Source organism: Homo sapiens, chromosome 12, assembly GCF_000001405.40.
Source record: "Homo sapiens chromosome 12, GRCh38.p14 Primary Assembly".
Lineage (NCBI taxonomy): Eukaryota > Metazoa > Chordata > Mammalia > Primates > Hominidae > Homo > Homo sapiens.
Window position 1 is genome coordinate 132,523,781 of NC_000012.12, and position 20,618 is coordinate 132,544,398.

Consider the following 20,618-nt stretch of genomic DNA (forward strand, 5'->3'; position numbering starts at 1 on the left):
TCATTCCTTGCAGGCTCTGGGAGACGATGATGCATTCCCGGGACCCCGCGTTGAGAACCGCTAGGAGTGGGACACGTGGCTTCCTGCAGAGGTGGACAGAACCCCTGATGGCCCCAGCAGGGCAGCAAGTGTGGGACCCGGTGGGCAGGGCTGCCCAGCTGGGACCGTGGTGCCAGCTCCGGGGGTGAGAAAGGAGAGGTTGTGAGAGTCCAGCTGGTGACAACAGTGACCCCTGGTGGCCTGGAAGGTGCCGGCCCCGGGCTCTGCTGCACAGGCCGTGCCTCCACCTAAACCTCATTGCACCGAGGGGCCCTGCCAGGGTTCCCGAATGTTACAGTTACAGATGCCGAAACTGAGGCTGGGGCAGGCCAGTCGCTTGCCCGAGGCCACAGTGCCAGGAAGAGCCGGGCAGCCTGGCCAGGGCCTGTGAGGGCTACTGTGCAGCTGAGCAGGTCACTAGCCCACCACCCTGCCCCCGGCTCCCGCCCAGTAAGGCTCAGACTCCTCGGGGCTGCATCCCTGCCCGGCCAGGGCCTCCTCCAGTGTGGGTGCCTGCTACTGTGCGGCTTGATGGACCTCATGGGCCGGGGGCATTTGACCTCAGGGGCCTGGGTGACATCCCTTAATTCGCACTGGCACCGTCTGCCTTGTGTGCACCCTGTCAGCCACCCAGGGAGGCCTGTTGCTGCAGGAGGTGCACAGAGCGGGCCTCTGGCTGAGCCGAAGGTCGGCAGGGAGCCAGGCTCATGGCTGCAGCGAGCCACACCAGCCAGTCCTGGGACGGGTTTCCCCGGGCTGGGGCGTGCTCCTGACTTGGATGACTCAAAGTAAAGAACCTCACCAGGGGCCCTGGCATGCGAGGCCTGGGGGCCCAGATGTGCTGGGGCGTGTCACTACAAGGTGCAGAATTGTTCCAGATCCAAGTTGGCCAGAGAGGGAGACCGCTGGGCTTCCACGTGAGTCTGGGCGCTGGCTGTGCAGGGGCGTCCCTGCTGGGCGCTGGCCAGCAGGAGCTCTGGCCTCTCACTTCCCTCAGCTTTGTGCAGGTTTGAAATTATTTCCAAGTAAAAAAAGTAAATACATGCAGGGCTCGGGGTCTGGTCCCTGCATGGTCACTTAACCTGTCTGCGCCTCTGTTTTCTCATCCGTGAAATGTAAAGGAAAATAGTTTCTACTCGGGGCCACCGTGTGAGCAAATGTGTGAGTGTGTGCAAAGCGCCCGGGCCAGGCCCTGGCACGCATCGGCGCCCATGTTGGCTGGTGTCAGGGGTGGTGGCGGTGGGCGTGGGGCGTGGGGGTGGGGTGAAGGGAGTATGGGTGCTCCCTTCAGCAGGTGATGAAACTGAGGCACGGGGAGGCCGAGCAGTGGCCCAAGGGCCCATGGCCAGGGTCAGGCAGGTCCCACCACCACCTCGCTGCTTGCTCTGGCATGGAGCCGACCGAAGGAGGTGCTGTGGGCACAGCCAGGGGACAGTGGGTGGCACTGAGGCTCGACCTGGAGGTCATAGCCCTGTACAGCCAGATGGGGTGGTGCGAACCAGCCAGGGTGTGGGTGGAGGCCCTGCCTGTGGTCCCTAGCACCCCCAGGATGCCTTCAAAGTCAGCGGCTTGTGGAAGGGGCGGCTCCAAGCACGTGGCGGTTCTCGTGTCACTGAGCCGGTGGGTCCTGGGTAGGTCCTCCCCGTCCTGGTAGAGTGTGTTATCAGTGTGTGCGCTGTCAGCTGGGATGGCATTCCTGGCTGTGCAGAGCTCTGTCCTGCTGCTGCTCCCGCCCCCAGACCAGGACCCAGCCCACCACAGCTCGTCACATCCCAAAGCGCCCAGCGGCTGTCGGGGCGCCTGGGGCCGGGGTGCTGGGGTGCCGGGAGCAGGCATGTAGCCCTAGCCAGGGGGCCCCGATGCGGACGCGGTGAGGTGGGGGTTTGCCTGAGACAGTGTCTCTCTCTGTCCCAGATGAAGGTCACCGTGTCCAAAGGGGGCGACCGGGACAGTGACGACGACAGCGTCCTCGAAGCCACCAGCTCCCGGGACCCGCTCAGCGATGTGAGTACCCAGCTGCCCGCGCCCGGAGGCTCCGAGTCTGGGCCGCCTGCCCGCTGCGCCCCGCACAAGGGCGTCCAGTCCGAGTCTGGGCCGCCTGCCCACTGTGCCCTGCACAAGGGCGTCCAGTCCGAGTCTGGGCCCCCTGCCCGCTGCACCCTGCACAAGGGCGTCCAGGAAGCCGCTGGTTAGGGTCCGGTTTCCCACCAAGGCTTTGTCTTAGCAATGAGCATTTTGCCTTCGTTAAAGCGTGATTTTTTACTCATTAGGACTTTCCCATTAGGAGAGATTTAAATGAAGAAATGGTGAGTGAGCTGGCAGGAGCCCAGAGGCCAAAACGTTAAGCCTTGGACGCTGTGCCTGCACTGCTGGCCTGTGGGTGGAGGGCAGGCGGACGGCCGCCGAGTCTTGAGATGGGCACTGGCGGGGCAGTGGGGAGGTTTCTGCTGACTGGAACTTGAGGCATCTCATTATCATTTAAATGAAGGCCTCACTGCCCGGCTCCCCATCTTGTTGCCACAAGTTAGGAAAATAGGCTGGGAATTACCTGGGACTGCCGCTGCCTTGGTTTGTCCTCTAATTGCCAGCCCCTGGTGAAGGAAGTCACATTCTGGGCACAATGCAGCAGCTGGGGCTGAGGCTCAAACTCAGGGCAACGAAGGCCCTCCCACCCCTCTGGCAGCTGGGAGCTGGCGGGTGGGCCCATCGGGACCCAGGGCCTTGGGCTCTGTCCCCTGACATCCTGGGGCCCTTCAGGAGCTGACCTGTCCCCGGCAAGGGTCTGTCTTGGGAAGGGGAGGGGGTGTCCTCCCTGACTCTGCAGTGGGGGTTGTGGATTGATTTGGGAGAGTGGAGGACTGCCGTCAGCTGGCCCCAAAGCCCTCCTTTTCTTCCTCTGCCTTGCCCCTCAGAGGGGGTGTTGGATCTTTGCATCTGCCCCCCACTCCTCAGGGGGCTCTGGACCCTCCCTGTGAGCCCCACTTGCCCAGCTCAGTGACCCACCCCATCCACTACAGCAGCCCTGAGCCTGTTTCCCCACCCCTCCTGCTGGGGGAGGCCCTGGTGGTCTGAGTGTGTAGCTGGTGTGATCCATACCTCTGTCCTGAAGACCTCACAACACCCACTCGAGCCAGAGGGATCCAAGGGTGTGGGGGACCTCAGCAGCCCCTGCAGGCCAGAGGGATCCCCACCAGAGGTGTGGGGGGCCCCTAGCTGCCCCTGCAGACCAGAGTGTGCCCTGATGTCTGAGGGGCCCCCAGCTACCATCCCCCAGCCCCAACCCCCACCACCTGTCAGGCCCCTGTGGTGAACCCTCCTTTGAGGGCTCCATCTGGTACCTCCTCCCGGAAGCCTTCCTTGTCTAGCCAGGGCACCCTCCCCAAAGTCCTGCAACCATGGACCCCTCTGGCGGGTGGGCACGGAGGGAGGTCAGCAGAAGCTGGGGCCCTGGGCTGACCTCCCCCAGGTCTTCCTGCCTCCTCTGAGGAGCATTTCTGGTGGGGCCTTCCCTCTTGGGGACAGGGAGCTAGCCAAGGGCGTCCCTGTGGGAGCCTCCTCGGGTTTGGATCCCAGAGCTGCTGCAGGGGAGCCTCAGACTGGCTGGGCCCCTCAGGAGGACGACAGCCCCTGGGGAGGACCCCACCACGACGCCTAACTCTGTCCTCCTCCCTGCGGCCTCAGCCCTCGTGGCCCCTGCCTGAGAGGATGTCTCGCTGGTGGTCTTGGGTCTGGGCATCTGGACCTGTCCCCATCCGAGTTGAGGGCTGCGGGGCTGCGGGGCAGGGTTGAGGGCTGCGGGGCTGCGGGGCAGGGTTGAGGGCTGCGGGGCTGCGGGGCAGGGTTGTGGGCTGCGGGGCTGTGGGGCAGGGTTGTGGGCTGCGGGGCTGTGGGGCAGGGTTGTGGGCTGCGGGGCAGGGTTGAGGGCTGTGGGGCTGTGGGGCAGGGTTGTGGGCTGCGGGGCTGCCGGGCAGGGTTGAGGGCTTCGGGTCTGTGGATCTGCGGGGCAGGGCTGTGAGCTGCAGGGCTGCGGGGCAGGGCTAAGGGCTGAGGGCTGCAGGGCAGCTGTCGGGTGCATCCCTGGGAGTTTGTTCCGAGTGGCAGCCTCACTGACTGTCCCCTCTTCCTTCCTGCAGAGCTCTGCGCATGCGGTCTCGGGGAGAGGCTACTCTGTAAGTCTCCCAGCACCCCTCCTCCATCTTTGTCCCCCTGGGGCCTTAGGACCAGGTCCCCACCTCACCTGTCCGAGGCCCCACAACTTAGCTCACCCCAGTCCCGTGCCCGCTTTCCCTCTGGAGCCCCAGACTGGTTCTGGCCTCAAACACCATGGGGTTGGTGGGGGGTGGACAAGCTCCAGAGTGAAGATTTGGGGGTGCGTCCTGCTCACGGTTTGCCAGGGGGCCCCCAGGCTAACATGCTGCCCCAGGGGGACGGGCTGGCCCTGTGGCTGTGGCCTTGCCAGGAGCCTCAGAGTAGTCAGCCTGCACAGACCCCAGCTGCAGCTAAGGGTGCCGGGATCCGCGGGGCCAAGGCCGGGCTGCTTCTTGGGGTCCTGTTGGGGGCCTGGGACATTTGGTGTGGGAGGTGCCCATGGTGTGAGCAGCCACCTCCAATGCCCTGACCGGCACCTGCCTCACCCCGGACAGAAAGGCCTGGGCCCAGGCTGGGCAACACCCAGGGAGCCAGCACCCCGTGGCGGGCAGGGGGAAGGAGACCTGTGTGCAGCCTTCATGACGGGTGTGTGCCCAGGGGGAGCGGGTGTGTTTCCCGGGGGGAGCGGGTGTCTGCCTGGGGGGAGCGGGTGTGTGTCCGGGGGAGCGGGTGTGTTTCAGTGTGTGCTGTGCCTCCCCGTGGGTGCACGGGTGTGTTTCAGTGTGTGCCTGAGAGAAGCAGGTGTGTTTCAGTGTGTGCCGTGCCTCCCTGTGGGTGCACGGGTGTGTTTCAGGGTGTGCCCGGGGGAAGCAGGTGTGTTTCAGTGTGTGCCGTGCCTCCCCGTGGGTACACGGGTGTGTTTCAGGGTGTGCCATGCCTCCCCGTGGGTGCACATGGCACGGTGGAGGGCTCCTTGCACATGTGCCTGGACTTGCTGTGGGAATGGCCTGGGAGGCTGGGCGCCGACCCCTGCCCCCCGGACCTGGAGGCCCAGCACCATCTCCCCGGCCCCCATCACCACTGTCCCCTGCCCTCCTCATGACTGTGTTTCATTTTCCCTTAAGTATCAGGAGGAACATTAATGACAACATAAAACCCAGAGCTCCATAAAAGCCATTTCTACAGATTGACGGCCTGCTGGGCTCGTGGGAGGGTGGGGGCCTGGACTCTGCCCACCCCATCCCTGCAGCCCCCGAAATTTCCAGGCCGTAGAGGCTCCCTCACTAAACCACAGCAGCTTTTTATAGGGTGTGTAATTAAACCAGGAATGACCCAGTGTGGCCAGGCCAGAGGGGACACAGCCTGGTGGGGACGGCCCCCCACTGTCTCTGTCCCACAGCTTCTGCTGGTGGCAGAGCAGGAAGCGGCAAGGGAGCGGCATGGGCGGCGCGGCCACAGGCCAGGAGTGGACCCCAGGATCCCTGGACCCAGCCTCATGGGCAGGAATTGGCCACTTGGCTGGGTCACAGCAGGGGCTCAGCCAGGCCCTTTGCACCCCCACCCCAGCTCCCCTGAGGCTGCCCTTTCACCTGAGGTTCTGTCTAAAGCCCTGGGCTCAGCTCTACCATCCTGGGCTCTTCTCTGCCACCCTGGGCTCGGCTCTGCCACCCTGGGCTCTTCTCTGCCACCCTGGGCTCTGCCACCCTGGGCTCTTCTCTGCCACCCTAAGCTCTGCCACCCTGGGCTTGGCTCTGCCACCCTGGGCTCGGCTCTGCACCCCTGGGCTCTGCCCCCCTGGGCTCTTCTCTGCCACCCTGGGCTCTACCACCCTGGGCTCTTCTCTGCCACCCTGGGCTCAGCTCTGCCACCCTGGGCTCTGCCTTTGGCCTCTCACCTGGTTTGGCCCAGAGTCCGTGAGCTGTTGACCTGGGGTGGCTGGAGCTCACTTCTGGGCAGTGGTTCCTGGAGCAGCTGCCTGCCCAAGGGCCCTCTTCCTAGGGTTTCCTTCCTCCTGTGCTGCATGGGGTCTCAGGCAGCCTTGCTGTTGTCACCTGTGCGCGGGGGCAACCCCTCAGAGGTGGCTGTGGGTGTCCTGACAGCCATGGTCATGAGTATGATGACACTCCTCCGCCCTTCCCATTGTCATGAGTATGATGACACTCCTCCGCCCTTCCCATCATCATGAGTATGATGACACTCCTCTGCCCTTCCCATCGTCATGAGTATGATGACGCTCCTCCGCCCTTCCCATCATCATGAGTTTGATGACACTCCTCCGCCCTTCTCTGGGCAGTGTCCTGACAGACCAGCTCCTGGTGTGCGTGTTCAGGGTCAGAGTGTGGAAATGGGCTAAGGCCACCTGGCTCCGGCTGCTGGGAGGCACCTGGGTCAAGTGGGGTGTCCTGATGCAGACTCCATGGGCAGGAGGACTGTGGCCCCCACATAGGTGCCAGACTGTGAGTGTCAGTGACATCTCCGAGTGCTGGGCAGGACTCCTGTCGGCTCACTGTGGGTCAGGGGGAGGGCCGGGTCTTAAGCTCTGGAAGGTGGGCTCTGCCCCCTGTTGCTGGTGAGGTGTGCACGTGGCCACCTCCTGTGGCCACCCCAGCTGGTCTGAGGTCCCCAGGGCACCTGGGTCTCTCTGCCCTGAGCCACTGGGTGCCCTTCTGCTTCTGGGTCTCCACTCATTATTCAAGTCTTCTCCCCAGAGCACTCTGTGTTTCCTGAGAAAGCCCGTTATTAACTTGCCAGCTGCTTGCAGCTTAACCCCCACAGCCGAGGCACACAAGTGACAGATGGCGGGGTGGGGGGTGGGGCTGGGGGGTGGGGGGAGGGGGAAGGGGGGAGGGGCTGGCCTGCTGCACTGGGGATGGGGTTCCCCTCCAAGCCGCAGGAGCCTGGGAGGACCCTGAGGGCTGCAGAGGGTCCTGTGCGTGTGCACTGGGCCCCAGCACACACATACCTGTTTCAGACCCTGGTGCATACAGATGGGCCCTGCCATGTGCAGGTGTGCACCCGGGGCCTTGGTCCAGTGTGGCCCTCAGTTGCCCATGCTGTCAGCCCTGCGGGCCCCTTGTGTCCAGTGTGGGGGGGGGGGTGCAGGTGAGAGCCCGGGGTGCAGGTGAGAGCCCAGGCTCCAGGCAGAGAGCAGGGAGGTGCCTGGCCTCCTTGGAAGTGCTCTTCCCCGGCACTGAGGACTGGAGGCAGGTGGAGGCCAGACCACCCCAGGGGTGGAGGACCAAGAACCGGTCCCATGGGACGCATGCCCAGGAGCAGGACAGGACCCAGGAGCAGGACAGGACCCAGGAGCAGGACAGGACCCAGGAGCAGGCGAGGGGCCCAGGCGAGGGTCTGGATTGTGCTGAAGCCTGGGACCCACTAGTGGGGGTTTGGGACTTCCCTGAGGCCTCAGACTCCTGGGTTGCTCCCTAGGCTGAGGCTGCCATGTGTGTGTGGGCGTGTGTGTGCATGTGCATGTGTGTATGTGTGTGTGCGTGCATGTGTGCATGTGCGTGTGGGCAGGTCTGTGCCTGTCCTGTGTGCAGCTCGTGTCCGTGGTACCCCCGTGTGGTGGGCTGCATGGGGCTGTGCGTTGCCTTGTAGAACAGTGTCACGGGTTCCTCTCTGGGCCTCTGTGTGTGCGTGTGTGTGTGTGTGTGCACCCGCGTGTGTGTGACCTGTGTTTGTGTGTTTGCATGCTGTGCATGTGGCATTGTGTTGTGCACATGGCGTTGCGTGTTGTGCACTTGGCGTTGTGTGTTGTGCACGTGGCGTTGTGTGTTGTGCACGTGGCGTTGCGTGTTGTGCACGTGTGCACCCCTTGCCACCTGCCTGTGACTGGGGCCTCCAGCCTAATGAGAAGGCACAGCCAGGCCAGCAGCCTCCCGTGTTGCTGAGTGGCACAGGCATTCATCACCTGGTCTGGTTTTATGAACCATCCTTAGAGTGGTGTAATTTTGTCCACATTGGTGGCCAGCAAAGCCCCAGCTATTGCTCATCCTCAGCAGCTTGTGCCCCAAGTGTGTGGTTTGGCCTTCTCAGCCACCGTCAGTGCTGTAAGGTAGAGTTGCTTCCACCCAAGGATGTGGTGACTGACTCCAGCGTGGCAGGGGGCTAGTGGATCGATTAGACAGAATGAGGATCCACAAGAGCTTGCTGGGGTTGGAGCCATTCCTGCCGGCACAGGACCCTGGCTTGCCCTCCCACACCCATGCACAGAATGTTCTGGAGGGGCCTTTGGCCAGCAGGAGCCAGAGTGAGGGGCTGGGTGAGCTGCAGGGTGGTGGTGGCAGCCCATGGTGAGGCCCAGGCCTCAGGGACCCATCTCACCCTGCACACGGCATTTAGTTACCAGATCATCCCGTTCTCCAGACAGGATCACAGGCCCAGAGAGGCCAACAGGGCCCCCCACCTCAGTGACTGGGAGCTGAGACCCTCAGACCTCCCTCACCACTCGGCCATGCCCACCCAGAATTCTCCTCCATGCGGCTGCCCAGCCCCTTGTGCCCATCAAGAAGAGCCATCTGCCTGGCTATGCCCACATGCCCTACTCTGCCCCCAGTAGCACCCACTTGGCCACAGCCCCCCCAGGCCCTTCCTGTCCCCACTGGCAAGGTCCTCCATCAGGGTCACAGATGCCCACCCTGCACAAACTGAGGTGTGGAGAAATCCGTCCCCTTGCCTCCCCTCCAGCCCATGTGTGCTGAGCGTGTCCATGGCCGGGCATGCACACAGGGAGAAAGATGGGAAAGACCTGGGTAAGGGAAGCCAAGGAGTCGCTGTCCCAGGCGGGGTGTTAAGCGCAGTGCAGGAGGGTGGGAGGGGGGGCCAGGCCAGCCGAAGCAGGCATAGGTTTGAACAGAGGGGCCGGTGAGAGGCCCTGAGGCCCCTGAGGAAGGAGCCCACCCCGTGTGCTTGGGGGCATGCCTGGGACAGGGAGGCTGGAGGTGGGTGGGAGGAGCAGAGACCCAGCCAGGTGGGACACTGCAGATGCCCACCAGCCGCTGGGGTCCCGCTGCCCTCGCTCTGTGCCAGGGCCCGATACAGGCGCTGTCTTTACAAGGCAGGTTTGTGACACTCATTACGGGGCTCCTTGGGCCTCTTCTGAGCAGCCACAACTTGTACAGAAGCAATAAAAACCCATCAGCCTCTCCCTGGAGTCAGAGAGCCACGGTCTCCTCCCAACCCAGCCTCTCCCTGGAGTCAGAGAGCTGCAGTCTCCTCCCGACCCAGCCTCTCCCTGGAGTCAGAGAGCTGCAGTCTCCTCCCGACCCAGCCTCTCCCTGGAGTCAGAGAGCCACAGTCTCCTCCCGACCCAGCCACAGTCTCCTCCCGACCCAGCCTCTCCCTGGAGTCAGAGAGCCTCAGTCTCCTCCTGACCCAGCCTCTCCCTGGAGTCAGAGAGCCTCAGTCTCCTCCCGACCCAGCCTCTCCCTGGAGTCAGAGAGCCACAGTCTCCTCCCGACCCAGCCTCTCCCTGGAGTCAGAGAGCCTCAGTCTCCTCCCGACCCAGCCTCTCCCTGTAGTCAGAGAGCCACAGTCTCCTCCCGACCCAGCCTCTCCCTGGAGTCAGAGAGCCACAGTCTCCTCCCAACCTCTGAGCATAGAAGGGTCTTTCAGGCTGGCTGCTGTGTGGGTACCGTAGGGGTGGGGGCTGAGCCATGTCCTCGCCCCATGGTGGGCACAGCCCGCACCCATCTGCTCACCCATTTGTCCATCTGCACCCACCCACATCCATGCACTTACCACCTGTCCCTCGTCTGCCACCCATCTGTCCGTCCATGCCACAGTGATCATGTGCCTGAGGGCAGTGGCCTCAGCACAGCCTGACTCTGGGCTGGGCTCCATGCCAGGCACTGGGTTGTGAGGAGCACGTCACACAGGGTCCCTGCCCCCAGGGAGCTGCCATTCCAGAGGGGAGAGGAGCCAGTCAGTAAAGAGAGCAGCAGCTGCCAGGTCGGAAGGAAGGTGGCCGGGGTCAGGGCAGCATCTCAGAAGGGGCAGGCCAGGGTGTCTGAGTAGGGGCAAGCCTGTGTGTGCAGAACCTGAGGCGGGTGGGTGCCACTGTGGGAGAGAACAGGGAGGGGTGCAGGGGAGCTGGGCCGTAGAGGATGGGAGGCTGTGCAGATAGTACCACTATCCCCCACCACCCCAGGCTAAGTGACAAAGGGGCTGACCCACCCAGTGCTGAGAGGGGCAGGGTCCAGGCCAGGTTTGTTCCAGCAGCCCAAGCACCACCACTCAGCCCTGGGAGGTCAGCATGGGGGCAGCAGGGACTTGGGGTCCTGGGAGGTGGCCATCCTGCCGTCCGCCTCCACTCCAGTCCTGGCCTCCATGGGCTGCGGGAGGGTGGGACGCCACGTGCGTTGTCGGGCCCCAGGTGAAGGGAGTGTCTGCGTGTGAGAACACCTTCATCTCCATGGCATTTAGATCATCTGACTCCTCCACCTGTGGTATTTGATTGCAAACAGGTGAGGTCCATGAGGAGACCTCGCCTCCATCTGCAGATGCGGAAGCCGAGGCCCAGGCATCAGCTGCACCTGTCGCACCCTCTGCCAGGGCGGGGTCCAGATGGGGCCAATGGATTTGGTCCCCTCCCTGTCCACCTTTTTCTCCTCGCCACCTCCCTGCCCCACATGTGCCCACACAGGGCTCACTTCCCGCAGCGGGCACGCGCTCTTTTATCTCCTGTTTTGTGGGTCAGAATTGAGCAAGGCTCAGCCCGGGTGGCTCCTCCATGCTGCACTGTGCTCACTGGGGTCTCCTGGGGATGGTGGCTGGGCTGGGTGGAGGGTTCAGGGTGGCTTTGCTGACGTGCCTGGCTTCTGGGCCTTGGTGGCTCAAGGCCCAGGCAGCTGTGGCCAGCCCTTGCAGAGCCTTAGCCAGGCTGGCAGCACCATTCCAGCACATTCTGCAGGTCAGAGCCCCCCAGCCCAGCCCAGGTTCTAGGGGAGGGGTTGGACCCTGGCCTGGAGGGGCCTCATGAGTGCCGCCTTTCACCCCACCCACAGCTCCCTGCAGCGCTCCCAGGTATGGGGGCCACAGCCATCCACCAGGCAGGACAGCCCCACAGGGCAGGGAGATGCCTGACCAAGGAGGGTGGCACAGGCAGTGAAGGTGGCGGCGCACAGCCCTGCTGGAGAGGGCCAGGCCAGAGTCTGGGGTGCCCATCAAGCTGAAATCCAATTATGAGAACAGGCCGGGCTGCTGTGACACGGGGGTTAGGAATTAATGTTAACACTGTTTCTGGTTAAGACTTTTTGTGTTGATAAATAATTCATGAGGCAGTTAGCACTTTGAGCCTGACAACACGAGAATATATTAATACGGTCGGCTCCAAGAAAGGTCAGCCACGTGCTTGGGGCCAGGGGGCCATCTTTTATTCATTCCCTGACACAGGCTCATTAATTATTCTGGCCCAGCCGGAGCTGTGCTCGGAGGGACACTAATGAGAAAAAGGAGAGTGGATTTGAGATCCACACGCCATCCGCTGTGGGGACGTAGAGGGAGAGATGGAAAGAAACACTGGTGAGGCCTCTGAGGCGGGATGGGGCCTGCAGCCTGGCTCCCTGACAGTGCTGGTTGGGTGTGAAGAGGTGAGCGGAGCTGATCCGCAGGTGTGTGGGGCACTGGCTGCCACATCCCAGCTCTCCCAGAGAGATGAGGAACAGGAGCAGATGCAGCCAGTATCAGAGAGCAGGAGGTGCATGGGGAAGTGAGGCTGAGGCTGTGGGTGCCCCAAGCACACTAGGCCCAGCGGGTGCAGGAACCCCCAGAGAAGCCACTGAGCAGAGACCCAGAGGGGAGGCTCGCAGGGCCAGCGGTTAGGAGTCCTGCATGTGTGCACGTGTACATGACAGTGTGAGTGCACGTGTGTCCATGATGGTGTGCGTGAGTGCACGTGTGTCCATGATGGTGTGAGTGCACGTGTCCATGGTGTGTGAGTGCACGTGTGTCCATGATGGTGTGAGTGCACGTGTCCATGGTGTGTGAGTGCACGTGTGTCCATGATGGTGTGTGTGAGTGCACATGTGTCCATGATGGTGTGTGAGCACACGTGTGTCCATGATGGTGTGAGTGCACGTGTACATGATGCGTGGATGTTTGTACATGGTGTGTTGTTTACATGTACATGACAGTGTGTGTGCCACGTGTGCATGATAGTGTGTTCTGTGTGTACATGGTGTGTGTGTGTGCATGTGTACATGACAGTGTGCCATGTGTACATGATGGTGTGTGAGTGCACGTGTGCATGACTGTGTACACGATGGTGTGTGAGTGCACATGTACATGATAGTGTGTGTGAGTGCACGTGTAAAATGGTGTGAGTGCACATGTACATGACCTCGTGCCATGTGTACATGATGGTGTGTGAGTGCATGTGTACATGACGGGGTGTGTGAGTGCATGTGTACATGATGGTGTGTGTGCCACGTGTACATGACAATATGATTGTGTACATGATGGTGTGTGTGCCATGTGTACATGACAATATGATTCTGTACATGATGGTGTGTGTGCCATGTGTACATGACTGTGAGTGCATGTGTATATGACAGTGTGTGAATGCACATGTACATGAAGGTGTGTCGTGTACATGATGGTGTGAGTGCATGTGTACATGGTGTGTGCTATGTGTACATGACAGTGTGTGTGCCATGTGTACATCACAGTGTGTGAGTGCACGTGTACATGACGGTGTGTGTGTGAGTGCATTGTACATGATGGTGTGAGTGCACGTGTACATGACCTCATGCCATGTGTACATGACGTGTGAGTGCACGTGTACATGATGTACATGACAGTGTGTGTGAGTATACGTGTACATGAAGGTGTGTGTGCCATGTGTATATGATGGTGTGTGTGAGTGCACATGTGTATGTGAAAGTGTATTGTTATGTGTACATGCGTACGTATAACTGCATGTGCATGCATGACTGCATGTGAGTGCACGTGTGTACATAAATGTATGTGGCTGTGCACATGTGTGTACGTAACGGTGTCTTTGCATGCATGTATATGTGATCATGTTGTGCCATGCCTGTGTGGTAACGATCACAGTGAGGCCAGGGGCTCTGCAGGCACTCGGGGGTCTTCAGGCTGACGTGGGGTGGGGTAGAGTGGAAGCGGCTGGTGGCCAGCTCTTGTCACCAGGAACCCCCTTGCTGTGTGGAGACAGCTGGAGGGCCAGAGCACAGGGGCCCCAGGTGGCCACGCTCGACAGGATGTGAGGGCAGAGGGTTAGGGATGGCCGCCCTGTCGTGTGGTGGGTGCCCTCTGCTGTGGGTGTGAAGCCCACGGAGTGTGTGGCCAGGGACATGTACTTAACAGGAAGAGGTGGCACTCGGGTGTAGAATGGAAAGCTGTTCAGAGTGAGACTGTTCCTGTCCAGTGTGTGAGTCGGGCCGAGCCCAGAGGTGGCTGAGGTGGGTGCTTTCCCCACCCACGTCCCATGGCGTCACAGCACAAATGCCAGTCCAGCCTGTCCAGTGTGTGGGTTGGGCCGAACCCAGAGGCAGCTGTGGTGGGTCCTCCCTGGCCCGTGTCCCAGGGCGTCGCAGTGCAAATGCCAGTCCAGATGTTCCTATTTGTGGCAGTCGCGACTTGAGAAAATTAAAGGTGATTTTGTGCATTTTAAAGCATTTAGACCCAAGGCTCAGGTGGTGCTAAGCAGGTGTCTAATTCTGCACATGTCTGATGGAATGTTCTGGAATTGTATTGGGGCTGGGCAGTGCTCCCTTGAGGACTGGCCCCCAGCACCTAGTGCCCCAATCTTTGTGACAGTTGGGAGCCCCCACGAGGATAGTTTTGTCCCCTCCAACCACAGTGTGGGGCAACAGGCAATGCGGACTTCAGAGCCCAGGCCGCCCACACGTGTGCCTGCTATGTCTCCAGCTAAGTGGACCCCATGGATCCTTGGGAACAGGATCCATGTTCTCAACAGACAAGACCATGGATAACAAATAAGCAGCTGATCGGAGATCATCGCTGGGTGGGATCAGGGTCCTGAGCAGGAGCTGGCCACACTCGTGTGCAGGCGCAGTGGCCACCACTGCACGGAGAGCTCGGGGGAGGGGCCGCAGAGCCCTGAGTGCCAGGAGGAGCCAGACTGGCTGGGACTCGAAGAAGAGCATTGGGGGAACGGGCTCACCCAGATCCCTGGTCAGAGTGAGCTTGGGTGTGGCTGGGCTGAGGCCCTGTGACCCAGGGGCCGGTCCCTGGGGCCAGGCCTGGGAGGGAGTTAGTTTGATTCATAGGAGGTCCTGAGACGGAAGGGGCCTGGGAGGGTGTGTTCTCCAGCTGCCTGTCCTTCTAACCAGGGCTCCAGCCCCACGTTCTCGCCGACGCAGGGCTCTCCAGGCCTGCTCCCTTGGCAGCTCTCAGGGAAAGTTCAGAAATGCATCGGGAGATCCTGGGGCCAGAGGCAGGGGTGCCAGCCCTGCAGCCCCACCACTCCCCTTTCCCATCCCCAGCTGTCTCTTCACGGGCCTGGACTGGAGGTCAAGGGCTGCCTGAGTCCTGCAAGGCCCAAGGCAAGCACGGACTGTGCCAGGTGCACTGAGTGGGGGCCTCCAGTGGGCGACGCAGAGCCCAGAGCTTTCCCTGGCAGTGATGGCCACGGGGCCGCCACGTGGCACAGCCTCTCCTGAGGGCTTGAGCCCCCACCGGGAGGCACCCTCGCAGGCGGGCGCACAGCCCATGGGGCCTTGGCACTGTGGGGAGGGTGCACAGGCAAGTCCGGCTCTGGCGTGTCTGCTCCAGAGCCTCACTCACCTGCAGCTCCTGGAGGCTGTGGCTGTTGGCTGCAGTGACTTGATTGCTTGTTAATTGCTCATTAATTGGGTAATTAGTGCTTTGTTGTGCTTTGAAGCCTAAATACTCATAAAAACTGAATTTGCTGAGTAAGCAAATATAGCATTTTTCTTCAGGACCCACCACCCGGTTATCTTGTGTAACCAGGTTGCAAGGGTGCCTCCACCTCCCAGGACAGCGAGAGGAAGGTGGGCCTCAGTGTGGCGGGGCCCTGACCGGAGGGTGAGAGTGGCCTCCAGGGCTTCTGCCACAGATTCCAGAGCCTGGATTCAGGATTCAGAACCCACCCAGTCACCCCCGGTCTGTGCCCTGGTGGGCTCCCATGCACTCAGTCCTCAGTTTCCCCATCCGGCAGCAGGTGGGTCTGTGGCGACTTGCAAGTGAGCCCAGTGTGAGCCGCATCCCCACACACTGCCCGGCCCCCACCCCTCGGGCTCCATGGCAGCTCTTTCCAGGCGCCTGCTCTTCCAGTCTCCAGAGAAGAAAGGCCTGGGGAGCGGGCGGAGAGTGTCTATGCTAGGATCAGGGTCAGAGAGGGAGGAGCTGGCCGTCAGGTGGGCCAGGAAGCCTCAGTCCCATGCCCCGGCCCTCCAGCCCGATGCCCACCCAGTCCTGCCCTCCAGCCCGATGCCCACCCAGTCCTGCCCTCCAGCCCCATGTCCACCCAGTCCTGCCCTCCAGCCCCATGTCCACCCAGTCCAGTCTCCCAGCCCCATGCCCCACCCACCCAGTCCTGCCCTCCAGCCCGATGCCCACCCAGTCCTGCCCTCCAGCCTCATGCCCACCCAGTCCTGCCCTCCAGCCCCGTGCCCACCCAGTCCTGCCCTCCAGCCCGATGCCCACCCAGTCCTGCCCTCCAGCCCGATGCCCACCCAGTCCTGCCCTCCAGCCCCGTGCCCGCCCAGTCCTGCCCTCCAGCCCCATGCCTACCTAGTCCTGCCGTCCAGCCCGATGCCCACCCAGTCCTGCCTTCCAGCCCCATGCCCACCCAGTCCAGTCTCCCAGCCCCGTGCCCCCACCCACCCAGTCCTGCCCTCCAGCCCCGTGTCCCCACCCACCCAGTCCTGCCCTCCAGCCCCCATCCACCTAGTCGTGTCCTTCAGCCCCATGCCCACACAGCCCAGTCTCCCAGCCCCGTGCCCCACCCACCCAGTCCTGCCCTCCAGCCCGATGCCCACCCAGTCCTGCCCTCCAGCCCGATGCCCACCCAGTCCTGCCCTCCAGCCCCGTGCCCACCCAGTCCTGCCCTCCAGCCCCGTGCCCACCCAGTCCTGCCCTCCAGCCCGATGCCCACCCAGTCCTGCCCTCCAGCCCGATGCCCACCCAGTCCTGCCCTCCAGCCCCGTGCCCACCCAGTCCTGCCCTCCAGCCCCGTGCCCACCCAGTCCTGCCCTTCAGCCCGATGCCCACCCAGTCCTGCCCTCCAGCCCCATGCCCACCCAGTCCAGTCTCCCAGCCCCTGCCCCCACCCACCCAGTCCTGCCCTCCAGCCCCGTGTCCCCACCCACCCAGTCCTGCCCTCCAGCCCCCATCCACCTAGTCGTGTCCTTCAGCCCCATGCCCACACAGCCCAGTCTCCCAGCCCCGTGCCCCCACCCACCCAGTCCTGCCCCCAGCCCTCTCTCAGTTGACCCCAGGTCCCTCCCGCCAGGTGCCACCTCCCCTCGGCCTTGGGCCCCATTCCCTGTGGGCCACCCTGAGAGTGCGCCCAGCTGGTCCCGGCCACCTACCCACCCTGGCCCGGGCCACCTACCCACTCTGGTCCCTGGCACACCTCCATCTGGCCTGGTGCAGCAGCAGAGCCCAGCCCCACACTGTCTCCTGCACCCAACCCTGCCAGAATGGAGGCCAGACATCCCCTCTCAGTGGACTCCACACGCCCCCTGACCCGCCCACCACACACTGTCACTGCCAGCCATCCCGTGGGCTTCCGAGCCACCTGTGGTGTGTGTGGCGCCTGCTCTGGGCTCAACACATCAGCACCTGGAACCAGGCTCCAGGGCAAGCCCACTGCTCACTGCACCTGCCTCACCCGGGGGGGCCCCTCCCCGATGGCAGGAGGACTCCCAGCCCCACACCTATGGCCCCACAAGCCCAGATCCCCAGATCCCCAGATCCCCAGCTCTGAGTCCTGGGCTCAGCTCCAGGCCCTTGCTGAGTAGCCATACAGCTGAAGAAAGTTATTTCCCTCTGAACCTCTGCTTCCTCACCTATGAAATGGGCTGATACTGCTGTGACACTGGGGGTACAGCCTCCCACCACACCCCTACCCCAAGGCACGTCAGGTGCAAATCCACTGTGAGCCTGGGGGGCAGAGCCCCACACCACACCCCTACCCCGAGGCACGTCAGGTGCAAATCCACTGTGAGCCTGGGGGGCACAGCCTCCCACCACATCCCTACCCCGAGGCATGTCAGGTGCAAATCCACTGTGAGCCTGGGGGGCACAGCCTCCCACCACACCCCTACCCCGAGGCACGTCAGGTGCAAATCCACTGTCAGCCTGGGGGGCACAGCCCCACACCACACCCCTACCCTGAGGCACGTCAGGTGCAAATCCACTCAGTGGGCCCCACCCATCCATTCTATGCCAGTACCGTGGATGGCCAAAGGTGCCTCACCCTCAAGTGCCAGATTTGGGCCCTGCAGCTCCAGCACCCACACCCGTAACCCCCTGCCCACGAGGGGCCAGCAGCCCCGCCAGAGGTCATGCACCCCCCCACCCCGGGGACAGCTGCCCAGCTGCGTGGGGTGAGTGCACAAGTGGCTCCCACCTGGCGGTGCCCCCCCAGGCAGCCCAGTTCTGCCCATGCAGGGGAAGGGAAGTGGAGCCTGGGCTAAGCCCACATGGTGGAGGGGTGCGGATTCACAGGACTGAGGCGGCCGAAAGGGGCTGAGAGTGACCTTTCCAATCGTGAGACATTTCACACAGTGTGAAGCTCAACTCGAAATCTCCCCAGCTGCTCTCAGCCCTGGGGGCTGCCGGTGCCACGCCAGCCCCTGTCCCTTATTTCAGCCGAATCGCTTGATTGGAATGCATTGCATATCCCGCCCGAGCGTGCGGCCCAAATGAAGGTGGGCCCCTTGGCACTGCCATCTGGGAAGATGGGGTCCCACAGGGCAGGGCACGGGGCCCACAGCCACTCATGCTTCTGCCCCATCCCTTCCAGAGCTGCTCCCCCCACCACCCCGAACCATCCGGGTTGCTGGAGTTTCTGGGCTGCAGGTTCAGACAGAATAGGTGAAGCAGCCAAGCTGCCGTCTGCCCCACGAGGGCCCAGCACAGGTGGCGCAGGTGGTCCTTTTCCCCACTCGGCGGCACGTGGCTCTGTGGCAGGTCCTGAGGCACCCACATGCCACGTACAGACATTGGGACACGTGGCAGGACACTGAGGGCAGAAGCCACCAAGGGCAGGATGACCAGATGGCACAGGGAGGGGCCAGGAACTGGCACACGCAGGACGCGCCACGGCACATGTGCACACGGCAGATGCTCCTCGTATCCCCGGGCACCTGGGTGGGCACGCGAGGCTCAACAGGGCCCCACGGAGGACACATGTGCACACTCAGGCCACACATGCTCAGCCAGGGTGGGGCTTCCGCACCGGTGTTCCCAGCAGCTCGGCCTCTCACCCGACACTCAGGCTGGGCCTTTCCACTCCATCCTGCCCACACCTTGCCACTGTTAGAGGTACCTCGGGTTGGTGCAGGCGCCCGTGTTGTTGGGGTGTTTTTTCTGCTGGTGAGGAGGGGTCAGGGCCCCCTGCCCCAGGTAGTTCTGCTCAGGAACCTTCATGCAGTGCCTCAGAGCAGAAACCCGGCCCTCACTGGCCCTGCCTCAGCCCCTCTCCCACCCACTGGGCCCAGACAGCTCTCCTGGATGGGAAGCTGGGGAGGTGGAAGCAGAGGCTGGCAGTGTTTCCAGCACCCTTCCCCAATGCTGGGCCTAGACCCTCCGCAGGACAGCCCCTTGGCCCCTCTGTCTCCTATCTCCTCCCCACCCTGCCTGGTCGGGGCCAGACACTGAGGGACCCCTGGGAGCAGCAACCTCAGCGCAGGGTCCCTGCTTATGAATTTTTCATGCCTTTGTTTGAGCAGTGGGATCAGGCGGCCCCTGAGCACACCGAAGCCATAATTAACACTTGCACTGGGAAGGGGAGGCATGTGTTCTTTGCTGCTTAATAGCCGTGCTGCTGATTTGTGTCTCCCCATGTGTGGGGCTGACAGGCAGCCCCAACCCCAACCCGTAGCCGCCCAGGGTCTGGAAGGGGTGCAGGGAGGCCTGGGTGATGGGGGCCAAGCCCCCTCCAGGCTCTTCGGGTAGCAAGGGTGCACTGCCTGGCTGTGGGGTGGGCTCAGATGCCTCTGAGGGATGAGGGAAGGGGGAGGGGTTGGTGGCAGTGGTGGTGACAGTGACAGTGAAGATGACACTGATGGCAGCTCCCATTTATGAAGCCTGGCCGCCAGCGGCTGCTGTCCTGAGCCTGCCACGCACGTTGCCTCCTCCGACTCAGAAGCCCCATGAAGGTGCCACTGTCTCTGCAGATGAGGAAACAGGCTCGGAGAAACGAAGAGACCTTTGCCACGGTGTCCAGTGTCCACGAAGCAGTGGGGCCAGGACCTGCCCACGCCGGGCTCCGTGAAGCAGTGGGGCCAGGACCCGCCCCCAGACTGAGTTCCAGGGTGCACGTTAACTCTGGGCTGTGCCCAGCATTCGACACCCCAGGGCTGGGGCCCAGAAGCTGGGGGAGGTGTTGGGAACCCACAGGGAGCTGTCAGGTGGGGATGCAGTTTCCTGTTCTCAGCAGGAAGCAGCCATCGGTGCTCATGAGAAGTCTCCAGGTGCTCAAATGTTGGCAGCCAATTTTAAAAAAATAAATCAGGCCAGACCAAGCCCATGTGCCCCCCTACCCAGCTTGTGGCTCTAAAAGCCATGTCTCAAGGCCGTTGTCCACCCACGGGTGAGGGTCTGGGAAGGCCGCTAATGGAGCCTGGAGGTGCTAAGCATCCCCACCGCATAGCCACATCTGTGAAAACAGTGACACGCAGTGGCCCCTGGGGTGGTTGGGGAAGCCACTCTCACGGAGGACGAAACCGGTGCCTGTGCTTCCGAGCCCCACTGCGGCTCTCACACCCAGCCCGGGATGGAGGTGGGGCAGATAGAGCTTCCCAGGGCCTGGGGGAGCTGAGCTGCGGGCTTGGGGTGGGGAGCCCTGACTCACGCCTGGCCTCTGACTCGTGCCGCTGAGTGGTCTGGAACCCCTGTCGGGTGCCTCCCTCTGGCCACCCCACACCTTAGGCGTGAGGGCCGGGGCCCTGGGCAGGAGGAAGGAACAGAGCCCAGTGGTTCAGGGGCAGAGCCTGCCCCCACGGCCAATCACCGGAATCACCCGGCTGCTACTCCCCACCCCAGGCACCCGGGTTTAAGTGGTCTAGGGGCCCCGAGCCTCGGTGCGGCTTAAAACCAGACTGACTGAGGGCGTGGGTGGAGACAACAAGTACTGAGAAGTGGTCACGAGGGCCATTATTGGATGGTGAGGTCCGACAGACTCAGAGGGGCCTTGTAGGCTGGCAGACCATGGTACAGGGAGCTGCTGCCTCCTGGCTGCCATTGGAGCTCAGGACAAGCAGAGAAGGAGAGACTTGATATCGGGGTCTCCTCGTGGCTACAGGAAGGCT

General features: G+C 62.6%; 1 protein-coding gene across 21 annotated transcripts in view, besides 2 other annotated features; it reads left to right on the forward strand.

The window, feature by feature from the left end:
• Positions 1-20,618, forward strand: part of FBRSL1 (fibrosin like 1) — a 95,038-nt gene that overhangs the window by 33,630 nt on the left and 40,790 nt on the right. For 20 of the 21 annotated variants that reach the window (XM_011534812.3, XM_011534807.4, XM_005266176.5 and 17 more), the window contains 2 exons: positions 1,954-2,043; positions 4,173-4,208. In XM_011534812.3, the coding sequence (XP_011533114.1) occupies positions 1,954-2,043; positions 4,173-4,208 (126 nt within the window). Of the gene's footprint in view, positions 1-1,953; positions 2,044-4,172; positions 4,209-4,682; positions 4,774-19,394; positions 19,850-20,618 lie in introns of those variants that run through there. The other variant, NM_001382743.1, reaches the window with a different exon arrangement.
• Positions 14,263-14,764: an enhancer, noted in NCBI's record as "H3K27ac-H3K4me1 hESC enhancer chr12:133114629-133115130 (GRCh37/hg19 assembly coordinates)". NCBI's record gives its function as "activates a minimal SCP1, AML or CMV promoter by ChIP-STARR-seq in naive H9 embryonic stem cells {active_cell/tissue: H9 hESC(naive)}" and the evidence as "EXISTENCE:reporter gene assay evidence [ECO:0000049][PMID:30033119]".
• Positions 14,765-15,264: an enhancer, noted in NCBI's record as "H3K27ac-H3K4me1 hESC enhancer chr12:133115131-133115630 (GRCh37/hg19 assembly coordinates)". NCBI's record gives its function as "activates a minimal SCP1, AML or CMV promoter by ChIP-STARR-seq in naive H9 embryonic stem cells {active_cell/tissue: H9 hESC(naive)}" and the evidence as "EXISTENCE:reporter gene assay evidence [ECO:0000049][PMID:30033119]".